Raw genomic sequence first — 21,141 nt, 5'->3', positions numbered from 1 at the left:
CAGATTCTGAGTGTGAGGGACAGCTACTGGAGGAGATTAAAGAAAAGAAAGGAAAACTAAAAAAAAAGTATGTTTTACTAGCCTGTCGGCTCCACCTGCTGAATTAAGTGAATGGTCACCTCCTCTCTCTCCTCTTAATGGGTGAGAAGACAAATTAGCTGAAAAACTTACTGCTCCTGTGGTTGCAACATTAAAACCTGGAGCAATTGGTGGTGCTACCCAAAATTTTATTTCAAAAGCTAGAGCTAAGGGAAACCTTGAAGCATGGCAATTTCCCATTACTATAATCCAGCAGAGAGGACAGAATATAGCTAATGGGGCCGTTTTCCCTTTTGAGTTACTAAAGGAATTTAACAAGTCATTAGTCAATACGGACCGAACTCTCCTTTTGTGCAAACTTTATTAAAAAATATGGTTCTTGATAATAGATTAATACCATATGATTGGGATACTTTGACAAAATCTGTTCTCACTACATCTCAGTACTTGCAGTTTAAAACCTGGTGGTCTGATGAAACTCAATCTCAGACAAAGGAAAACACACAAGCACAGCCACCTGTGCCTATTTCCTTTGAACAGTTAATGGGAGTTGGCCATAATTGGGGTCGATTAGAGAATCAAGCAGTAATGGAGGATGTTGCCATTGTTCAGCTGCACTTTGTGTGCTTACAGGCATGGGAAAGGATAAATGTTACGGGTGAGAAATATCCTTCTTTCAGTTCTGTCCAACAAGGACCTAAAGAACCATATATTGATTTTATTGCTGTGCTCCAAGAGGCTGTGTATAAAGTCATAACTGATAAGACAGCTCAGGATGTTGTAATACAGCTTCTTGCATATGATAATGCTAATGCAGAATGTCAAACTGCTCTTAGACCACTGAGAGGGAAGGCTTATTTAGCTGAATATATTAAGGCTTGAGATGGCATTGGAGGTAACTTACATAAGGCTTTTTCAGATCAGGCTATGGCTGGATTAAGAGTAGGAAAGAATATGCCCCATTTCTTAGGCTCTTGCTTTAATTGTGGGCAATTTGGACACAGTAGAAAGGAATGTAGAAAAGGAAATCAAAAGGCAAAAACTACTACCATCAATCAACAGAAAAGTCCAAGTGTATGCCCCCAGTGTAAGAAAGGCAATCACTGGGCAAGTCAGTGTCATTCTAAATTTAGCAAAAATGGACAACCTCTTTTGGGAAATGGGAAGAGGGCCCGCCTCGAGCCCCTCAACATACCAAGGCATACCCAGCACAGCCAGTACACTTACAAACGTATACAAACGTACAACAGTTGTCCCCCTCCTCAGCAGGCAGTGCTGCCATAGATTTCCACAGCACAATTCCTGTCTCCTTACTTCCTGGAGAACCATCAAAGAAGGTCCCCACGGGAGTTAGGGGATGCTTACCCTCAGGAACAGTCGGTCTATTACTTGTGTGTCCGGGATTGGTTCCTTCCGGTGGGTTATTGGTCTCGCTGACTTCAAGAATGAAGCCGTGGACGCTCACAGTGAGTGTTACAGTTCTTAAAGATGGTGTGTCCAGAGTTTTTTCCTTCAGATATTCATGGTCTTGCTGACTTGAGGAGCGAAGCTGCAGACCTTTGCAGTGAGTGTTACAGCTCTTAAAGTTGGCACGTCTGGAGTTGTTCATTCCTCCTGGTGGGTTCATGGTCTTGCTGGCTTCAGGAGTGAAGCTGCAGACCTTCGTGGTGAGTGTTACAGCTCATAAAGGTAGTGCGGACCCAAAGAGTGAGCAGCAGCAAGATTTATTGCAAAGAGCAAAAGAACACAGCTTCCACAGCATAGAAGGGGACCCGAGCTGGTTGCCGCTGCTGGCTCAGGTGGCCTGCTTTTATTACCTTATTTGGGCCCACCTACATCCTGTTGATTGGTGCATTTTACAGAGAACTGATTGGTCCATTTTACAGGGTGCTCATTAGTCCGTTTTAAAGAGTGCTGATTGGTGCGTTTACAAACTTTTAGCTAGACACAGAGTGCTGACTGGTGCATTTACAATCCTTTAGCTAGGCAGAAAAGTTCTCCAAGTCCCCTACCTGACTAGCTAGACACAGAGCGCTGATTGGTGTGTTTACAAACCTTTAGCTAGACACAGAGCGCTGATTGGTGTATTCACAATCCCTTAGCTAGACAGAAAAGTTCTCCAAGTCCCCACCCGACCCAGAAGCCCAGCCAGCTTCACCTCTCACTTGGAAGTTCTAGTCTAAATTTAAAAGTTGTCACTGTGCATATGGGAATAATTGACTCTGATTATACTGGAGGAATTCAATTAGTTATTAGTTCCTTGACTCCATGGTCTACCTCTCCAGGAGAAAGAATTGCTCAGTTGTTGCTGTTACCTTACATAAAACTAGGAAGCAGCAAACTGAAAAGAACAGGAGGCTTTGGTAATACTAATCCAGCAGGAAAGGCTGTGTATTGGGTTAATCAAGTATCTGACAAAAGATCTATTTGCACAGTAACTATTCAGGGAAAAGATTTTGAAGGACTAGTAGATACTGGAGCTGACGTCTTTATTATTGCTATAAATCAATGGCCCTGGCAGTGGCCTATGCAAAAGGCATCTATTGGTATTGCTGGAATAGGAGCTGCCTCAGAAGTTTTTCAAAGTTCTTTGATTTTACCATGTCAAGGGCTGGATGGTCAGGAAGGGACAATTCAACCTATCATTACACCTATTCCTGTCAATTTATGGAGTAGAGACTTATTGCAACAATAAGATGCTGAAATATCTACTCCCATGGATCAATATAGTAATAATAGTAGACAAATGATGAAAAATGTGGGATATCAACCAGGAAAAGGACTAGAAAAAGATTAAAAATGGCCAATCAGAACCTTTAGAATTAGAAGGGCAAACAGATTGGACCAGATTGGGGTGTCATTTTTAGGAGCAGCCATTGTTGAGCCTCTGGCTCCCATTCCTCTTGTTTGGCTAACAGTCAAACTGGTTTGGGTGGAGCAATGGCCATTGAAACAGGAAAAACTGGAGGCTTTAAAAGAACTGGTGAAGGAACAATTGCAAAAGGGACATATAGAGCCTACTTTTCCCCCTTGGAATTCTCATGTATTTGTCATTAAGAAAAAAATCAGGAAAATGGAGAATGTCAAAAGATTTAAGGGCTGTTAATGCTGTGATTCAACCCTTGACAGCAGCTAAACAACACCTGAGAGGACAAAAGAAAATAAAAAGGCTGGACAAGATATATGGTGGAGGGATGCACAAACAAAGAGCTGGGAAAAAGGAAAGATGATTTTATAGGGAAGAGGATTTACTTGTGTCTCTCCAGGTGACAATCAGGTGCCTGTGTGGGTGCCCACCAAACATGTGAAGATCTGTCATGAACCACAGCCTCTAGTGGACCCACCTGTACAGTGCAAATTGAAGGTTTAAGGATTGCTTTTAAGCCTTGATTTGCTTTCTCTGTGCCTTCTGTTAGACAGAGCCTGCTTCTCATTATCAACAGTAAGTTTTATGCCACAGTAATTTACCAAAGAGGCAGAAGCCGAGTTACAAATGCTTCAGCAATGGCATGCCTCCTGGCTACAGCCACAAAAGTCTTTGCTTCTGTTTCAGTAGATTTACTAATGTGGGGGTGAGAGTATGCTTGTGTTTTTGCAGGAGAAGAACAAACCTTGTAGGTGCCCTCAAGATGTGTACAACCATGGACTGGGTTCCCCCAGTATGAGACATGCTGAGAAACTGCTGGAGCACCAGGGTTTTACTAATAGATGCTTAAAACCAATGCTTTCTGACCGAACTTCTCTCTACCCTGAATACAAGAGACCCTAATAGGTAGGCAGGAGTATCATCTCCCCTATTCAGCATGAAGAAGTTACAGAAGATGGATTTTCATCCTTCTGCAACCCCTAGGATTAAGGGTCCTCTTGTAAAAGGGAAAGGGAAGATATGTAGGAAGCATTCAAACCAGAGCGACTCCATTTGGAATAAGGGCTAAGAAAAATGAAGCTGGATCACCAACTGACAATGAAGATCTGCACAGCCTGCAATTGCCTTGCTCAATTAATTTAAAAAGAGGCCACCTTGTTAGTAATAATGATAGCTGTGGTGGTTTTTACAAAAAAGAGAAAGGGGGCATGTTGGGAGAAAAGCTGAGTGTTGGGAGAGAAGCTGAGGCAGGGCTTGCATGTCTGCTAGACTTGCTGGCTCCTTGCTTCTAGCACTCCTGTTATCTCAAGCAGCTATATGTTTCTCATTTACTTGATACATTGTTTCCTCTCAACCCCCACATCCTCACTACCTGTTTGTTTGAGCACAAATAAATAGCGTGGGCTCCCAGAGCTTGGGGCCTTCGCAGCCTCCACACTCGCGATGGCCCCCTGGTCCCACTTTCACTCTCAAATTTTTCTCATTCCTTTGACTCCGCCGGACTTCGTCACCCTTAAGACCTGGTGTTGGATCTGATCACCCCAACAAATACTAGAAACACCTCTATGCAACTAAACTAGAAAACCTAGAAGAAATGGATAAATTCCTGGACACATACACCTCCCAAGTCTAAACCAGGTGAAACCAAATCTCTGGATAGACCAGCAACAAGGTCTGAAATTGAGGCAGTAATTAATAGCCTACCAACCAAAAAAAAAAACAAAAAACAAAAACCCAGGACCAGATGGATTCACAGCCAAATTCTACCAGAGGTACAAAGAGGAGCTGTTACCATTCCTTCTGAAACTATTCTAAACAATAGAAAAAGAAGGAATCCTCCCTAACTCAAGGGGCCAGCATCATCCTGATACCAAAACCTGGGAGAGATACAACACAAAAAGAAAATTTCAGGGCAATATCCTTGAAGAATATCAATGTGAAAATCCTCAACTAAATACTGGCAAACTAAATCCAGCAGAACATCAAAAAGCTTACCCATCATGATCAAGTCGGCTTCATCTCTGGCACATGAGGCTGGTTCAACATACACAAATCAACAAACATAATTCATCACATAAAGAGAACCAGTGACAAAAACCACATGATTATCTCAAAAATGCAGAAAAGGCCTTCAATAAAATTCAACACTCCTTCATACTAAAAACACTCAATAAACTAGGTATTAATGAAATATATATCAAAATAATAAGAGTTATTTGTGACAAACCCACAGACAATATCATACTGAATAGGCAAAAGCTGGAATCATTCCCTTTGAAAACCAGCACAAGACAAGATGCCCTCTCTCACTATTCCTATTCAAATAGTATTGGAAGTTCTCATCAGGGCAATCAGGCCAGACAAGGAAATAAAGCATATTCAAATAAGAAGGCAAGAAATCAAATTATCTCTGTTTGCTGATGGCACGATTGTATATTTAGAAAACCCCATTGTCTCAGCCCAAAAACTTCCTAAGCTGATGACCAACTTGAGCAAACTCTCAGGATACAAAATCAACGTGCAAAATCACAAGCATTCCTATACACCAATAGACAAGAGAGACAAACAGAGAGCCAAATCATGAGCAAACTCCCATTCACAATTGCTACAAAGAGAATAAAATACCTCATAATACAACTTACAAGGAATGTGAAGGACCTCTTCAAGGAGAACTACAAACCACTGCTCAAGGGAGAATACAAACAAATAGAAAAACAATCCATGCTCCTGAATAGGAAGAATTAATACTGTGAAAATGGCCCTACTGCCCAAAGTAATTTATAGATTCAATGCTATTCCCATCAAGCAACCATTGGCTTTCTTCACATAATTAGAAAATACTACTTTAAATTTCACATGGAACCAAAAAAGAGGCTTTGTATCCAAGACAATCCTAAGCAAAAAGAACAAAGCTGGAGGCATCATGCTACCTGACTTTGAACTATACTACAAGGCTACAGTAACCAAAACAGCATGGTACTGGTACCAAAACAGATATATAGACCAATGGAACAGAATAGAGGCCTCAGAAATAATGCCACACATCTGCAACCATCTGATCTTTGACAAACCTGACCAAAATAAGCAATGGGGAAAGGATTCCCTATTTAATAAATGGTGTTGGCAAAACTGGCTAGCCATATGCAGAAAACTGAAACTGGACCCCTTCCTTACACCTTATACAAAAATTAACTCAAGATGGATTAAAGACTTAAACATTAGACCTAAAACCATAAAAACCCTAGAAGAAAACCTAGGTAATATCATTCAGGATATAGGCATGGGCAAAGACTTCATGACTAAAACATCAAAAGCAATTGCAACAAAAGCCAAAATTGGCAAATCGGATCTAATTAAACTAAAGAGCTTCTGCATGGCAAAATAAATTATCAACAGAGTGAACAGGCAACCTATAGAATGGGAGGAAATTTTTGCAATCTAGCCATCTGTCAAAAGGCTAATATCCAGAATTTACAAGGAACTTAAATTTACAAGGAAAAAACAAACAAGCCCATCAAAAAGTGGGCAAAGGATATGAACAGACACTTCTTAAAAGAAGACATTTATGTGGCCAACAAACATAGGAAAAAAAGCTCACCATCATTAGTCATTAGAGAAATGTAAATCAAAACCACAATGAGATACCATCTCACCTCAGTTATAATGGCAATCATTAAAAAGTCAGAAAACAACAGATGCTGGAGACAATGTGGAGAAATAGGAACACTTTTACATTGTTGGTGGGAGTGTAAATTAGTTCAACCATTATGGAAGACGGTGTAGCAATTCCTCAAAAATCTATAACCAGAAATACTATTTGACCCAGGAATCTTATTACTGGGTATATACCCAAGGGATTATAAATCATTCTACTATAAAGACACATGCACACCCATGTTTAGTGCCACACTATTCACAATAGCAAAGACTTCGAACCAACCCAAATACCCATCAATGTTAGACTGGATTAAGAAAATGTGGCACATACACACCATGGAATACTATGCAGCCATAAAACAGGATGAGTTCATGTCCTTTGCAGGGACATAAATGAAGCTGGAAACCATTATTCTCAGCAAACTAACGCAGGAAAAGAAAACCAAACACCTTATGTTCTCACACGTAGTGGGAGTTGAACAATGAGAACATATGGGCCCAGGGAGGGGAACATCACACACTGGAGCCCGTCATGCGGTGGGGGGTAAGGAGAGGGATAGAATTAGGAGAAATACCTAATGTAAATGTTGGGTTGATGGGTGCAGCAAACCACTATGCCACATGTATACCTATGTAACAAACCTGCATGTTCTGCACATGTATCTCAGAACTTAAAGTCTAATAAAAAAACAAAATTTCCAGTTTAAAATGATTTTCATGTTTATAAACATGAAAAATTTTATTAAATTAATTTCACTAATTTAACATAAGCATGGTTTGGAAAGTTTTTAAGCATTTATTGACCCTAAAACAAGATTTTCCCTAAAAAATAATTATAAATTAAATGTGAATGCCAAAATTATATATGTACCATGTAGATTTGTAGTTTATAAAATAAGCTGTGATTATGTAATTTATGTTTATAATATGTATATGTTTTTTATTTCCTTAATAATGGCATAGAGAAATGAAAAGAAACTATTAATAGATTTAGATTTTTTATCCACTTGTTAGTGAAATATTAAAGTAAAATTATTTACAGATTTTTTCATGTCTATTTCTCACACTTACAGCACATTCACACACATATTTATATATTTATGTCCCACTAGATTTTAGCAATAAAAATTAAACCTCAAAAATCTAAAATATTGATACACATAATATTTTAATTTATCTTTAAAACGTTGCTAGCTGGTATAATTTTTTTTATTATAGGCAGCAAGGAGGAAATGAGGAGAGACGTTATAGTGTAGGGTTTAATGCCATGTAGTAATATATGACAAAGGACAGAATAGGTAGAGTTTATGAGCGTGGCTTGTAGAATGATACCGTTTGAATTTGATTCTTGATTCTATCACTTACCAATCATGTAAGTTTAATTTTTCTCATGTTTCTAATACTTCCTTAAGTTTTGTTGTGATATTCAAATGAGTGAATATAAAAAGTATATGGGGCAGTGTCTGGTACGTGGTAGTGTTATAGGTGTATTTTCGCATGTATTTACTTTCCATCACCATAATAATCATTGTATTATAAAATGGCTACAAACATTTTATGAAGAATTTGAACTTTATCACTCACTAAAATTATTGGCTCTGACCATATATGTAAAATTAGGAAGTCTATGTAGTAAAAAGAATGAATCTATTTTTTTTGTTTATTTTCAGTGCTTCTGATTAATTTTCACTTAGCAATGAAATTGACAAATAAGCTACAGATTTTGGCCAAGATGTTGAATTAATCCAGGGATGACAGCTTCTTATCAGAACACGAACCTTACTGATGTTAAAAAAACACCTTAAAAATAGGTGCTAAAACGGCAGATACTAAGCAGGCAATACTATGATGTCCTGAGGAAAGCTACAATATGCCAGTGTTGCACTTGTGGGGCAACATAGAAATTAATGAGTATAGGGAATCCCTGTTGGATTCTATTACCTACTCCGTGAAGATTTAGGTTTCTAATTTGTTTTCCTTTCCTTTCTTTTCTTTTCTTTCTCTTCTCTTATTTTTTCCTGTTTTTTTTTCCTCTCTTTCTTTCTTTTTTTTAAAGAGACTTGGTCTTGCTATGTTGCCCGGGCTCAAATACAATGGCTATTCACAGGTGCAATCACAGTGTACTACTGCCTTGACCCCTGGCATTAAGGAATCCTCCTGCCTCAGCATCTGGAGTAGCTGGGATTACAGATACGCACCACTGTGCCCAGCTTGCTAACATATATCTTATCAAAAGAGAATCAACCTTTGGAGTTTTCCCTACAAAGGTCCTCTCAGATATCAGTTGCTAAAATTTCAAAAAACACAATGTCTATGCAGTAACATAATGTAGTAAAGTGATGTTGACCAAACAAGAGAGCAGAACATAAAAGCAGTAAATACAAGTTAGTTAAAACTCAATTTTACACACACACAGAGACACACACACACACACATTCACTTACATACATATTCACAAAACACACAAACACATATGTGTATTTTCTTTTTTTTTGGATGGAGTCTCACTCTGTCATCCAGTCTGCAGTGCAGTAGCGAGATCTCGGATCACTGCAACCTCCGCCTCCTAGGTTCAAGTGATTCTCCTGCCTCAGCCTCCCGAGTAGCTGGGATTACAGGCATGTGCCACCATGCCCGGCTAATTTTTGTATTTTTAGTAGAGACTGGGTTTCAACATGTTGGCCAGGCTGATCTCAAACCCATGACCTCTGGTGACCTGCCTCAGCCTCCCAAAGTGGTAGGATTACAGGTGTGAGCCATTGTGCCCTGCCCATATATGTATGTTTAACAGTTATGGTTAAATATACATATGTTTAACAGTAAATATACCAAAAAATGTATATTTAACAATAAAACAATTATGTTAAATATATATATATATATATATATATATATATATATATAATGTATGTTGACATTTATTTGGAAGCTTAAGAAATAAGAACGATGTGGTTGCAATAAACTGTTCAAACTTTACAATCCTAATTTAACTGAAAACATCTGGATTTGAAAGAACTTGCTTATTTCCTAGGAGAAGAATGTTTACAGTTTGACAATAGGAAGGTGGGAAAGGAATAGAAATATTTTAAAAACTGACATAATAACCATCCTTTGTTTCCTCTGCTGATTTGCAATAACTCCCTGGGGAGAATTTGGTGCCCCTGGATGAATGTACAAAACTGTCCAGTTCTGTTCTCAAATCAAGCTCTTAAATTCATCTCCCTTTACTACACTTTCATTATAATATAAAAAGTCAATGGGAGTAGCTTGGCATCGGGAAAATCTTTCCTGGATGATAACTCTCATGCTGCCTGATTTTCACCTCAGTGTGGCACAACCATCCTAAGTTTTTCTGATGTAAATTTTGCAAAGATTTAGGCAATTCTCATTATTGCTTCTATAAACTAGTTAATATTAAACTGACCCGTCTCTTTTTGCCTTCACTGCCCTTGTAAGCTTGGTTCTGTTTTTAGAGCTGTTTGTACAGTTTCATAGATAATTATGGATATTTATTTTTTAAATCCTATTAGAACCTGAACATCTTAGTATGTTTTATGGTCAATTTTATTCTTTCTCATTTTAGTCCTAAAATTATCTACAGAATATCTCTGAATATGTTTTCACTCTACCACATGTGGCTACATTTCTAAGTGCTATTTACTTCATTTGCAAATGGCTTTTCTCTTTATATTGCCAATGCATGGGGTGCAAACCCATTATCAGGGCAAATGGAAGTGATATCTGGAGAGTGAAGCCTTTTATGGAACTTCATCTATTTGTTCAAATCCTAGTTTCTTCTCCCACTTCACAAGAAAGCAAAACAAGCAACAATGGCCTTTATGTATATGCATACATAAGTCTCCACAATAGTTTTTTGACCTATGTTCATTTTATATGATTTACTAATTTTTAAATTTTTTAAATTTTTACTACCATATTTCATCTTTTTTTGATCATTATCATCAAAAGTCACCCACTAATTAATAATGTTCACTTACCAGGCTTTGGACTATGACATGGGAGATAAAGTTGTAAATATGCTATGAGTCAACCCCAAGAACCCACATGAAATTTGTAACATCCAAACTGCAGAGATGTTGGACAAAATAAATTAATCCAGTGAATGGAAGAAAAGACAACCTGGTAAAACAAAAACAAATAAGATGATAGGACCAAATCTTAAACTTTCAGTAACTACAGTAAATGCAAAGGCTTAAAATAATTTGTTGAAAGTAGAAAAGCTGTAATTTGATTTAAAAATAATTCAGCATTATATTATGTCCAAAGACACATTTAAAAACAAAAGGCAGGGAAAACTCAACCACAAAATTATGGACAAAAGAAAAGAACAGGTCAAATAAAGCAAAGAACTGAGTGTAAAAGTCATGTTTTAGTGTAATCATCTATGAAGTAATAATAGAATACACATTCAGAAAAGTATACAAATCAAAAGTAAACAGCTTTATACATTTTCAAAACAGAAGCAAGAGACACAAAAAATCCCCTTCAGACGACTTTCAGACACTCTCTATTTCCAAGGATAGTGTTATGCTATTCCCAAGCATGAGCATTATTTGGGCTTCTAATGCTATAGATAAGTCTGGCCTATTTTGGGGATGTTTGTGCATGGAATCACATAGCACGCATCATTTTGTGCCTGGTTTTACTGTTTCAATTTTTGTTTGCAATATTTACCCAAGTGTCTTAAATATAACTGTCATTTGTTCATTCTCATAGTTCTCTTTCATGTTCCACTCTATTACCTGTCGATTGCTGTAAAATAAATTACCTTAAAACATTGGGGCTTAAGGCATCAAACAATTATTACTTATAGTTTCTGTGAATCAGCAATCCAGGTAGAATTCAGCTATGTAAGTCTGGCTCAGGACCTGCCTCAATATTGCAATCAAGGTATGAGCCAGGATGGCAGTTGTCTCCAAAGTGTTAAAAGAAGAAAGTCTGATTCAAGCTAACTCATATGGTTCATGCTGGATGTTGGTCAGGTCATCAGTTACTTTGTGGTCCTCTTCATAGGGCACATCACGACACGGCCACTGGCTTCCCTCAGAGCCAGCAAGGGCGTGAAAGAGAATAGCCAGGACCGACGCTACAGTCTCTTCATTACTTAACCTTAAAAGTGAAATCATTGAACTTTTTGTATATTTTATTAGTTAGAAGTGAGTGATTGGGTACAGTCCATACTGGAGAGAGGCAATTACACAGGGTGTGAGAGTCAGGAATCACATTCCACCACATTCACTGTATGAATATATGACAGTTTGCTTATCTATTCTAAGGAAGATGCACAGTTAGGTTGTTTGAGATTTTACCTATTACAAAAGGAACTCCTAAGAACATTGTTTTACTTGTGTTTTTAGAAATATGTATGTATTTCTTTCAAGGTTATACCTAAAAGTAGAATGGCTGGTTTACAGAGAAATCATATGTTTAGCTTCTTTAGATACTTCTAAACAGTTACAAATGTGGTTGCAAAAATTTAAATTCCAACCAGCAATCTATAAAGAGTTAATAATTTTATTAAACTCTAATGTCTCAACAAGTTAAGTCCAGGTGCATATATGCATATATGTGTGTGTGTGTTTGTGTGCATATATATGTGTATGTGTAGTGTGTGTGTGCATATATATATATATATTTCTGTTTAGTTATCCAGTTGATTCAGTGACATTTAGGAAACAACCATCCTGTCTGCATTGTATTACAGTGCAACATGTAAACTGGTGGGACTACTGCTGAAATTTATTCTGTGACAGTTTTCTAATTTTGGGCCCTGCTTCAATGCCATGTTGTTTATGTTATTATAGTTTTATACCAATTACTACCATATAGAAACATATTTTCTCTGGATTTTTTTCTTTTTCAAGATTGCTTCAGTTGTTCTTATTCTTTTGTATTTTCAAAAATATTAGCATTAGCTTGTCAATTTACCTCACATGCTATTCTTTAATTTTCCTGATAATGTTCCCAGTAACTCTGACACTGCCTTTAAAAGAAAATTGTGTTTCTCCATTTAATTTCAGTGACTTTTAGACTTTCTATTGCTGAATTGTACTGATCGCAGGTGCTCCCTTACATTTTTTACTTTAATGGCAACCTTTGCTGCCATTGGTTGTGATGGATTTGATCATTTTCAACCTATATAATCTGTTGTCATTTCATGAGATTTGTAGAGGAGAAAGGGTACTCGTGACTAGTGCACACTGCATCATTTGCACGAAAGAGAAAATCAGCCCATGATACCCACTAGCTGGCCTGGTAGTATAAACTAGGCCTTGGCATTACTATGAGATGGTCTGGCACTCACAGCTAGATTTTGGTGTTCTTTTGTTGACCATAATCATAACACCAGATAAGGCCACACTGACCATAATGGAGAAGGGTAAAAACAGTGCTATACCATAATCACAGACCAAACATGACCATTGTTCAAGCCACAAAACATCAAACATCCCCTTCTCCCTGCTAATATAAATGGTTGTTGTTTCTTTACCAATTACAGCTGTGACATGACTCAGTCTTCCCTCCTTCTAAATAAGACATTAAAATAAGTCTTCCCTCCTTCTAAATAAGACAATTATAGAACTACTCTCTGATAACATTCAATCTAGAGTAAAGCTTTACTCCATTAAACTCTCCCCACAATCACCTAACATTGCCCCACATCCTATAACAGGTTTATTCTAATACCCACCTACTGCTCTGCTCCATAGTTGTCTAGAGTGGGTATTCTCTCTCAATGCAATAATAAATATACTCAGGTTATTCTACGATAGGCGTGTTCCTTGTTGTCTTTGGCTAAAGGGTATTGACTTTAACTGATATTAAAGTCGTTTATGCAAAACAATTCTACGTTGGATTCTTTCACAGATATGAGAGAAAAAGTTGGTAGGAAGGAATTTGTTTTGTAGTTGACAATTTGTTTATAATTTACCAGTTTAATTACACAACTTCAGCTATTTATATTCTACAGACATTTAAAATAATATTTCCATAAAATTTTGATTGCTTTAAAAGTTTAAAAATAAAGTGATTCTTAATGAAAATTTTTGAATACTAGTGTACTGAATACAACAATAAACATTTCATTAGGTTTTGCTTATTTAATAAATCTACTTGTCTCTATCCTGTTCACATTTACAATCAGATATAAATATTCACCTTTGAATATCTGCCATTTCATGTCCCTAGAAGAGATTATTTTTTTAAAAAAAACTAGGTAAATGCAAACAGTAAATGGCAAATAAAATGCACTATTTTATAAAGCTGCTTTATGGCATTATCTAATGTATGCATACTCTCATATTAATTCACTTTATTTTCTCAACACAAACAGTTTTCATGGATTTATGTGCATTATACTATTTATGAAGTTTGATGTGATTCAACATAATAAGGGAATTTGCATTTCAACAGGGTCCTTCAGTAGGTTTTGTGCCAAGAAGCTCATACTGGTATGTAATTCATTTGCTGTTAGTGGTCTCTGGACAGGATATTTCATGGCCTGGCCTTATTACTTGGTGGCACTTAACTCTCTCAGACACTGTACATTTAAGGAATAAAAAGCCAACTGTCTGTACAATAGACGGTATCTGTACATTTGTCACATTCTGCTGAATTATCATATAAATTGCCTTTACACTCTTTTATCACACAATGAACGCAAAACTCAGTCATCCCCTTGTCCCCACAACCTGTCAAGTTTTGTCCCAATTTCTCCATTATTCTGTTTCATAAATAAAATTCTTGGAGATTGATATTTTAAATATAAGTTCAGTATAATTTGTAACTTGAACTTTGCATTCCCAAACCACTAATGATGTCATTATTTTTAAAAAATCTTACTTGACCTCTCTGCGGATTTTCATATAATAGACAATTCTCCTTTTTATTATGCCCCATTTTCTCCTGGTTTCCATGACCCAGCTTTTGCCTTCCTCTTTTCCTTGTGGGTATTTTCCTTAATTCCACTCTGTCAGATAATCCCCTTCCCCTGTCTCACTAATGACAGACATCTTCAAAATCTGTAACGTTCTCCATTCTCTTCCCTCTTCAAACACTCCCCTGATTGATATTAATATTTTGTGGCTTCAAAACCATTTTTGATGACCCCTGAATATCCAGCTCTCCTGGACACCTCTTCTGGAAACTTCAGGATCAGATATTCTACTTTCTCATTAACTATCCCACCTATGTACATTATAAGATTTTCTTAAACAAATTTACAAGAAAAAACATATCCATCAAAAAGTGGGCAAAGGATATGAACAGACACTTCTCAAAGGAAGACATTTATGCAGCCAACAGACATACGAAAAAAATGCTCGTCATCACTGGTCATTAGAGAAATGCAAATCAAAACCACAATGAGATACCATCTCATGCCAATTAGAATGGCGATCATTAAAAAGTCAGAAAAGAATAGATGCTGGAGAGGATGTGGAGAAATAGGAATGCTTTTACACTGTAGGTGGGAGTGTAAATTAGTTCAACCATTGTGGAAGACAGTCCGGTGATTTCTCAAGGATCTAGAACTAGAAATACCATTTGACCCAGCAATCTCATTACTGGGTATACACCCAAAAAATTATAAATGATTCTACTATAAAGACACATGCACACCTATATTTATTGCAGCACTATTCTCAATAGCAATGACTTCGAACCAACCTGAATGCCCAATCAATGTTAGACTAGATAAAGAAAATGTGACACATATACACCATGGAATACTATGCAGCCATAAAAAGGGATGAGTCCATGTCCTTTGCAGGGACATGGATGAAGCTGGAAACCATCATTTTCAGCAAACTATCACAAGAACAGAAAACCAAACACCGCATGTTCTCACTCATAAGTGGGAGTTGAACAATGAGAACACATGAACATAAGGAGGGAAACATCACACACCGGTGCCTGTCAGGGGGCTTGGGGGGTTATGGGAGGGATAACATGAGGAGAAATACCTAATGTAGGTGATGGGTTGATGGGTGCAGCAAACCACCATGGCATGTACATACCTATGTAACAAAACTGCACGTTCTGCACATGTATCCCAAAACTTAAAATATAATTAAAAAATTTCTACAATAACAGAAGATTTTCTAACACCCCAATTATCTGAGTTTCTCCTGAAATCTATTCTTCCCCCGCGTTCTCCATCTCCATAAATGGTAACGCTTTCAGGATGGAACTGTGTCTTTACTAACCATATCTATTAAGCCTTCATGTCCTGCTGATTTGCACACAAAATATTTCACAAATATAGCCTCCTCTTCTAGCCTCCTTCATTACAATCTCAAGAAAACCATTAGTAGAGGTTGTAGCTAGATTGGGGCAGCAGCTTTCCACTAACCTGCCTATTGCACTCTCACAAACTTCAGTGGATGTTTTTGCTTCTAGTTGAGAATCCACTTTTCTCTTTCTTCTTTCTAGAAAAAAACACTGGAATTTCAAATTGTGCAATTTTAATAGGCTTAATGCCAAGATCATTTAAAGAGGGAGGTACATAGCAAAAGCTGAGTGTATCACACTCCCATAGGGTAGGGATTTTTGGATAGGTGAATGAGACAAAATTATCTCCCACTCATATCCAAATACCATCATTTAGGGGTTACAGTTTCAACATACTAAGTTGGAAGGGAGAGACGCAAATGTGCAGTCCATGATGCCTTTCTTCTCTGATGAAATTTTATTGAAATGACAGAATATATAACAAACAAATAATTTCATGGCAGGATGACGAGGCCTACTAAGAGGTATGTCACAACAGAATAGGAACATTAAAATATTTCTGAAAGTTATAAAGTAGATGACATTTGATTAATGGGAAGACATAACAGGGCTGAGGGAATCAGAAATCAGTATAGGTAAATTAGTAAACATCTAAAAGTGTATTTTTATCAGAAACACAGAAAACATTTTCCTAAGATCAGAAATAGGAAGAGTTGTAGTTAAGGGTCAGTTAGTTGAAATTAGAGAAATGATTAGTAATAGAAATATCAAATAATCACCCATCCTTAGGTGGTAGTTTGAATGGCTGCAACATTTTCCCCTAGAATAAAACTATTAAAGAGAAAAAACAGCTTTAGCTAAAAAAGTTTTGGGGGCGGCCGGGCGCGGTGGCTCACACTTGTAATCCCAGCACTTTGGGAGCCCGAGGTGGGTGGATCACGAGGTCAGGAGATCGAGACCATCCTGGCTAACACGGTGAAACCCCATGTCTACTAAAAATACAATAAATTAGCCAGAAGTGGTGGGGGGCGCCTGTAGTCCCAGCTACTCGGGAGGCTGAGGCAGGAGAATGCCCTGAACCCGGGAGGTGGAGCTTGCAGTGAGCCGAGATCGCACCACTGCACTCCAGCCTGGGCGACAGCAAGACTCCGTCTCAAAAAAACGAACGAACAAAAAAAACTCGGGTCATTTTGCTGTAGGGAGATTCCAGTATGGGCATATTTTCGTAAGAGAAAAATGTAGAGCAATGCCAAGTAAGATGTCATGAAATACCACGGCGGACAGTGATTTTCTAAACGCTGAAGGCAAACTCTTTATAGATAGAAAAACATAGAGCTTAGCTGTGAATCAATGTGACCAGGAATCCTATGGTCATCATTTATATTTATTGTGGAGGAAAAGTGATTTTACATGTTTGGAGAAACCAATTAAACCAACAGATATTGAACAGTATTGAAATTAGTTTATAAATACAAAGAAGTAGTCTAAATTCATCAGACTTTAGGCACCAAACTCAAACAAAATCCTCAAAACAAATAAACAAACAAACAAGGGAACCAATCTCTGAAGAAATACTGCTTAAAATGATAGGGAAGAAAAATAGAGATAGATAAAAATCTACTATATTTCCATAAATATATTTTGGAAAAAAATCATATCTATGGGAAAATAACCTTGTACCATATTAAATTAAGAAATTGAAAACAATAATTTTTAGCAACCGTAAAAAGGATTGTCAAAATATGCAAATAAATAAATAGGTTAATGGTATGTTGAAAATTAATTTGGTGATATGCAAATTCAGGGTAAGCGGTTCTTCTACACACACAAAACACTGTACCCTACCTGCTAGCATTCTGTGTGAATGCAATAGTTTCCCTGTACTTCCTAATTTAGTCTGTGATATTTAGCCACAGTTTCACCCTCTGTGTTGGTAAACACATCTTCACTTTTGCTTCGGATATGCTTTCTATTTTTCTTCTGATTATTTCTGGATGGTTTGCTTACCTAAATTCAACACATTAGAACCTGACACTAAAACATATGCATTTGAGTCATATTTTACATCTGATTTTTTTTTCAGAGTTTGTTAACGTCATTTGGAAACTGGTAGTTTCAGGGTTGGATTAGCAGGTCAACAACAGCATCATCAGTAACTCAAAATCTACCCACTTGCTTTCTTCTCTTCAGTGTGTCGACTCTTCCCCTACTAGTCCGTTGCTTGTGGTCACAAGATGGCTGCTTCAGCTATATTACTCTTGTCACATTTATGACAGGAGGGAAACATGGTGGCAAGTGTGTACACTTCGCTCAAGCATGCCCCTTTTGTAAGGGAGAATGACTTCTCTATAAATTCCCAGGAGAATATCCCCTATTATTTCGTAAGCATATGACTGCCATCACAAAGAAACAATAGGATATTCTTTCTTGAAATCAGGATCTTTTTCCCACCAATTGAAAACATTTCACTATTCTGTTAATAGGAAAGTGAGCGGCAGATTCTCTGCAGGTTTGGCAAGGTTACAAAAGAGCATAACACAAATCCTCGATAAAGAGAAACAGAAAAACAATACAATAAGGACAGCTAAAATATTTTCAAAATCTTTTTTTTTTCTTTTTTTTTTTTTGAGACGGAGTCTCGTTCTGTCGCCCAGGCTGGAGTGCAGTGGCGCGATCTCGGCTCACTGCAAGCTCCGCCTCCCGGGTTCACGCCATTCTCCTGCCTCAGCCTCCCAAGTAGCTGGGACTACAGGCACCCGCCACCACGCCCGGCTAATTTTTTGTGTTTTTAGTAGAGATGGGGTTTCACTGTGTTAGCCAGGAAGGTCTTGATCTCCTGACCTCGCGATCAGCCGCCTCAACTTCCCAAAGTGCTGGGATTACAGGCCTGAGCTACTGCACCCTGCCCAAAAATCTTAAATATGAAGTAGAGTAATGTGGCATTGTGGCAATGGAAGGAGAAATGGAGTAAAGGAAGTACATATAAGTGTGTATGTAGGTAACTGTTTACGTGCTTACACATATATGCAAACACACGCATATTGTTTCTGCTATTTTGTTGTTGTTAATGGGATAATCTTGAATATTAATAAGAACCTGTTGTAATCTCTTCTTTTAACCTTAATACATGTGGACGCAGTTTCTGTTTTAGTTCCTTATCTACAAAATGATGACACACAGAATCTCTTGTACTTTATGAAAAAACACTCCCACAAAGCATTAGTAATCAATTTGAATTTCACAGACTGTTTCGTATAATATATGTAGGAGAATACAAACAACCTGTGTCCATAATAAATAACTTAAAATGCCCTGTTAGCCTTTCATCTTCTTCCATTGTTCCCTGGTTACGGTTAAGTTATTGCTTGGTTTGCTAGAATAGTCTTAATTTACTACAGTTTTTGAAAAAAAAGAGTAAAAGCGAATCTCCTTCTACTCTTCAGTAACTTGATTTAACATTAAATCATAATTTTACCCTACTACATGTGGGTCAAATAACCAGGAAGGCAGGAGGGAGGAGATGGCATGTTGATTCTCTCTTTGACCTAATTTTTCTTGGAATTTATTTACTTATCTCTCTCCCTTCATGCTTAGTACTTTACATGTATTTGCAAATCTTTATTTGTCTCTAAGCCTTAAGGTTGGCCAATGCCCAGTTTCTTCATCCCATGTTTTACCACAATAAGATTTACTAAAATATATTTCCAAAATATGTATTTATTCCCTAGTAGGGATTCTCATACCTCTTGCTAAATTGTCACAAAATCTCTCCAAACACTAGATAGACAGGCAGACAGAGATAGATAGATAGATAGATGATAGATAGATAGACAGATAAAGTTGCAGACATTAGAAAGTAAAATGGACTATTATCAAAGTTTTCAAATTAAAAACAAAAAAGTGTAAGTGGGACTTATAATTTACTGAAGGGTTTTTCTGTTTGTTTGTTTGGGACAGGGTATAAATATTTTTCCCATCATGAAGAAAAGGAAGTAGTTAGTGGTGGGGTAAATCGAACAAATATATAGGTGGTAGAGAACATAAATTGAAAGACAATCAATTCTAGCTTCTCTGTGAAAGACTATCTTCTATGTAAAAGAGACAATGTTTACTGTTTATGGCAAATACATGGGCCTTATTTTGAGTTAGGCAGTGTGGGATGTAAAGCATCAGCTAACTGGTAATAACCAGGATTAGAGCTGATGTCCCTGTTAAGAAAGTAGATAATAAACTTGTAATAATATCGATACCCGTTAATGGTGTAATTTGTTCAATATTCTGGGTACTTTTCTTCAAGATCACCATTTTTCAAGTTCAGTCTATTGTGAGGTACACATCTAGATTCTTCCTAATAATGAATTAAATTTATATATCAAACTTACAAAAAGCAGATAAATAAAATTTAAGTTGTGGGCTATATCTATAACTTAAGTGAATGTAATGGTGACTATCCTCAAAATTATCATGTGTTGGGTTATGTGTATCACCCTTTTAGGATTCTCACAGCAGATCTAAGGTTTGCAGGGTGCTAGCCTCTCAGAAGGGTCACATTGTATAAGAATATTGCCCAACCTGCTGTGCATGGTCTCACGTCTCACAGCATTTGCTTCTTTGTCAAAACCTGTGGATCTGGATCTTGGCTTACCTCTAGTTCTGATTATTTTATCCTCCCATTCTGCTGTTGGATTGCCATAATGGGCCTGTGTTTTTGTTGTTATTGTTGTTAGACTTCGATGACACCTTGATTATTCTCTCTTCTAAGGCCTATCCTGATTTGTTCTCACCCAAATCCACCCCAACTGCAGAAATAAGGAAAAAAAAAAATACAAGAAACAAAACAAAAATATATGACACAATCTTTTTGGTGTAACTTTCAATATCCTTGAAAAAATTTATTTTTAATGTGTTAAATGAGAAAGAAAGCCTGCAGTCTTCTCGAACAAGACAAAGAACATTTCCAGCCCTCCAAATTATTTGATTGGTCACTTGTGAGATTTCACCATTCCTTATTCTTATAAATAATTCTAATTTATTAATTTTCCACTTGTATTTCAACCAAATTCCAATGAAGTTCAAAGTATTTGGACACATTACTAAAGTAATAGCTTATCAAATGATTTACTAAAACTATTAAACAATTATTTGTATCAGTAGTAACTTTTACACAATATCAAAATACACATTCTAAGAATACAAATATGCCATCAAAAAGACTATATCAAGAACAACATAGTCCAATGAATTAAAAGCTTTGCTACTGAGTAAGTACTTAAATGGTAATAAAGATACACAACTCTTCTTTTGTCAGAATTACATAAGAAAACTAA

At 37.0% G+C, this 21,141-nt stretch overlaps 1 long non-coding RNA gene across 2 annotated transcripts in view; it reads right to left on the bottom strand.

The window, feature by feature from the left end:
- Nucleotides 1-20,782, bottom strand: part of LOC105374689 (uncharacterized) — a 30,724-nt gene extending 9,942 nt beyond the window's left edge. Inside the window, exons 1-2 of one of the 2 annotated variants that reach the window (XR_925859.3) lie at nt 20,460-20,782; nt 15,936-16,011 (exon numbers count right to left, since the gene is read on the bottom strand). This is a non-coding gene — a long non-coding RNA (uncharacterized LOC105374689). Of the gene's footprint in view, nt 1-15,935; nt 16,012-17,986; nt 18,329-20,459 lie in introns of those variants that run through there. The other variant, XR_925858.3, reaches the window with a different exon arrangement.
- Between the last annotated feature and the right edge of the window lie 359 nt (nt 20,783-21,141).

This window comes from Homo sapiens, chromosome 5 (assembly GCF_000001405.40).
Source record: "Homo sapiens chromosome 5, GRCh38.p14 Primary Assembly".
In the NCBI taxonomy this organism is placed as follows: Eukaryota; Metazoa; Chordata; class Mammalia; order Primates; family Hominidae; genus Homo; species Homo sapiens.
This window is presented reverse-complemented; position numbering and strand designations above follow the sequence as displayed.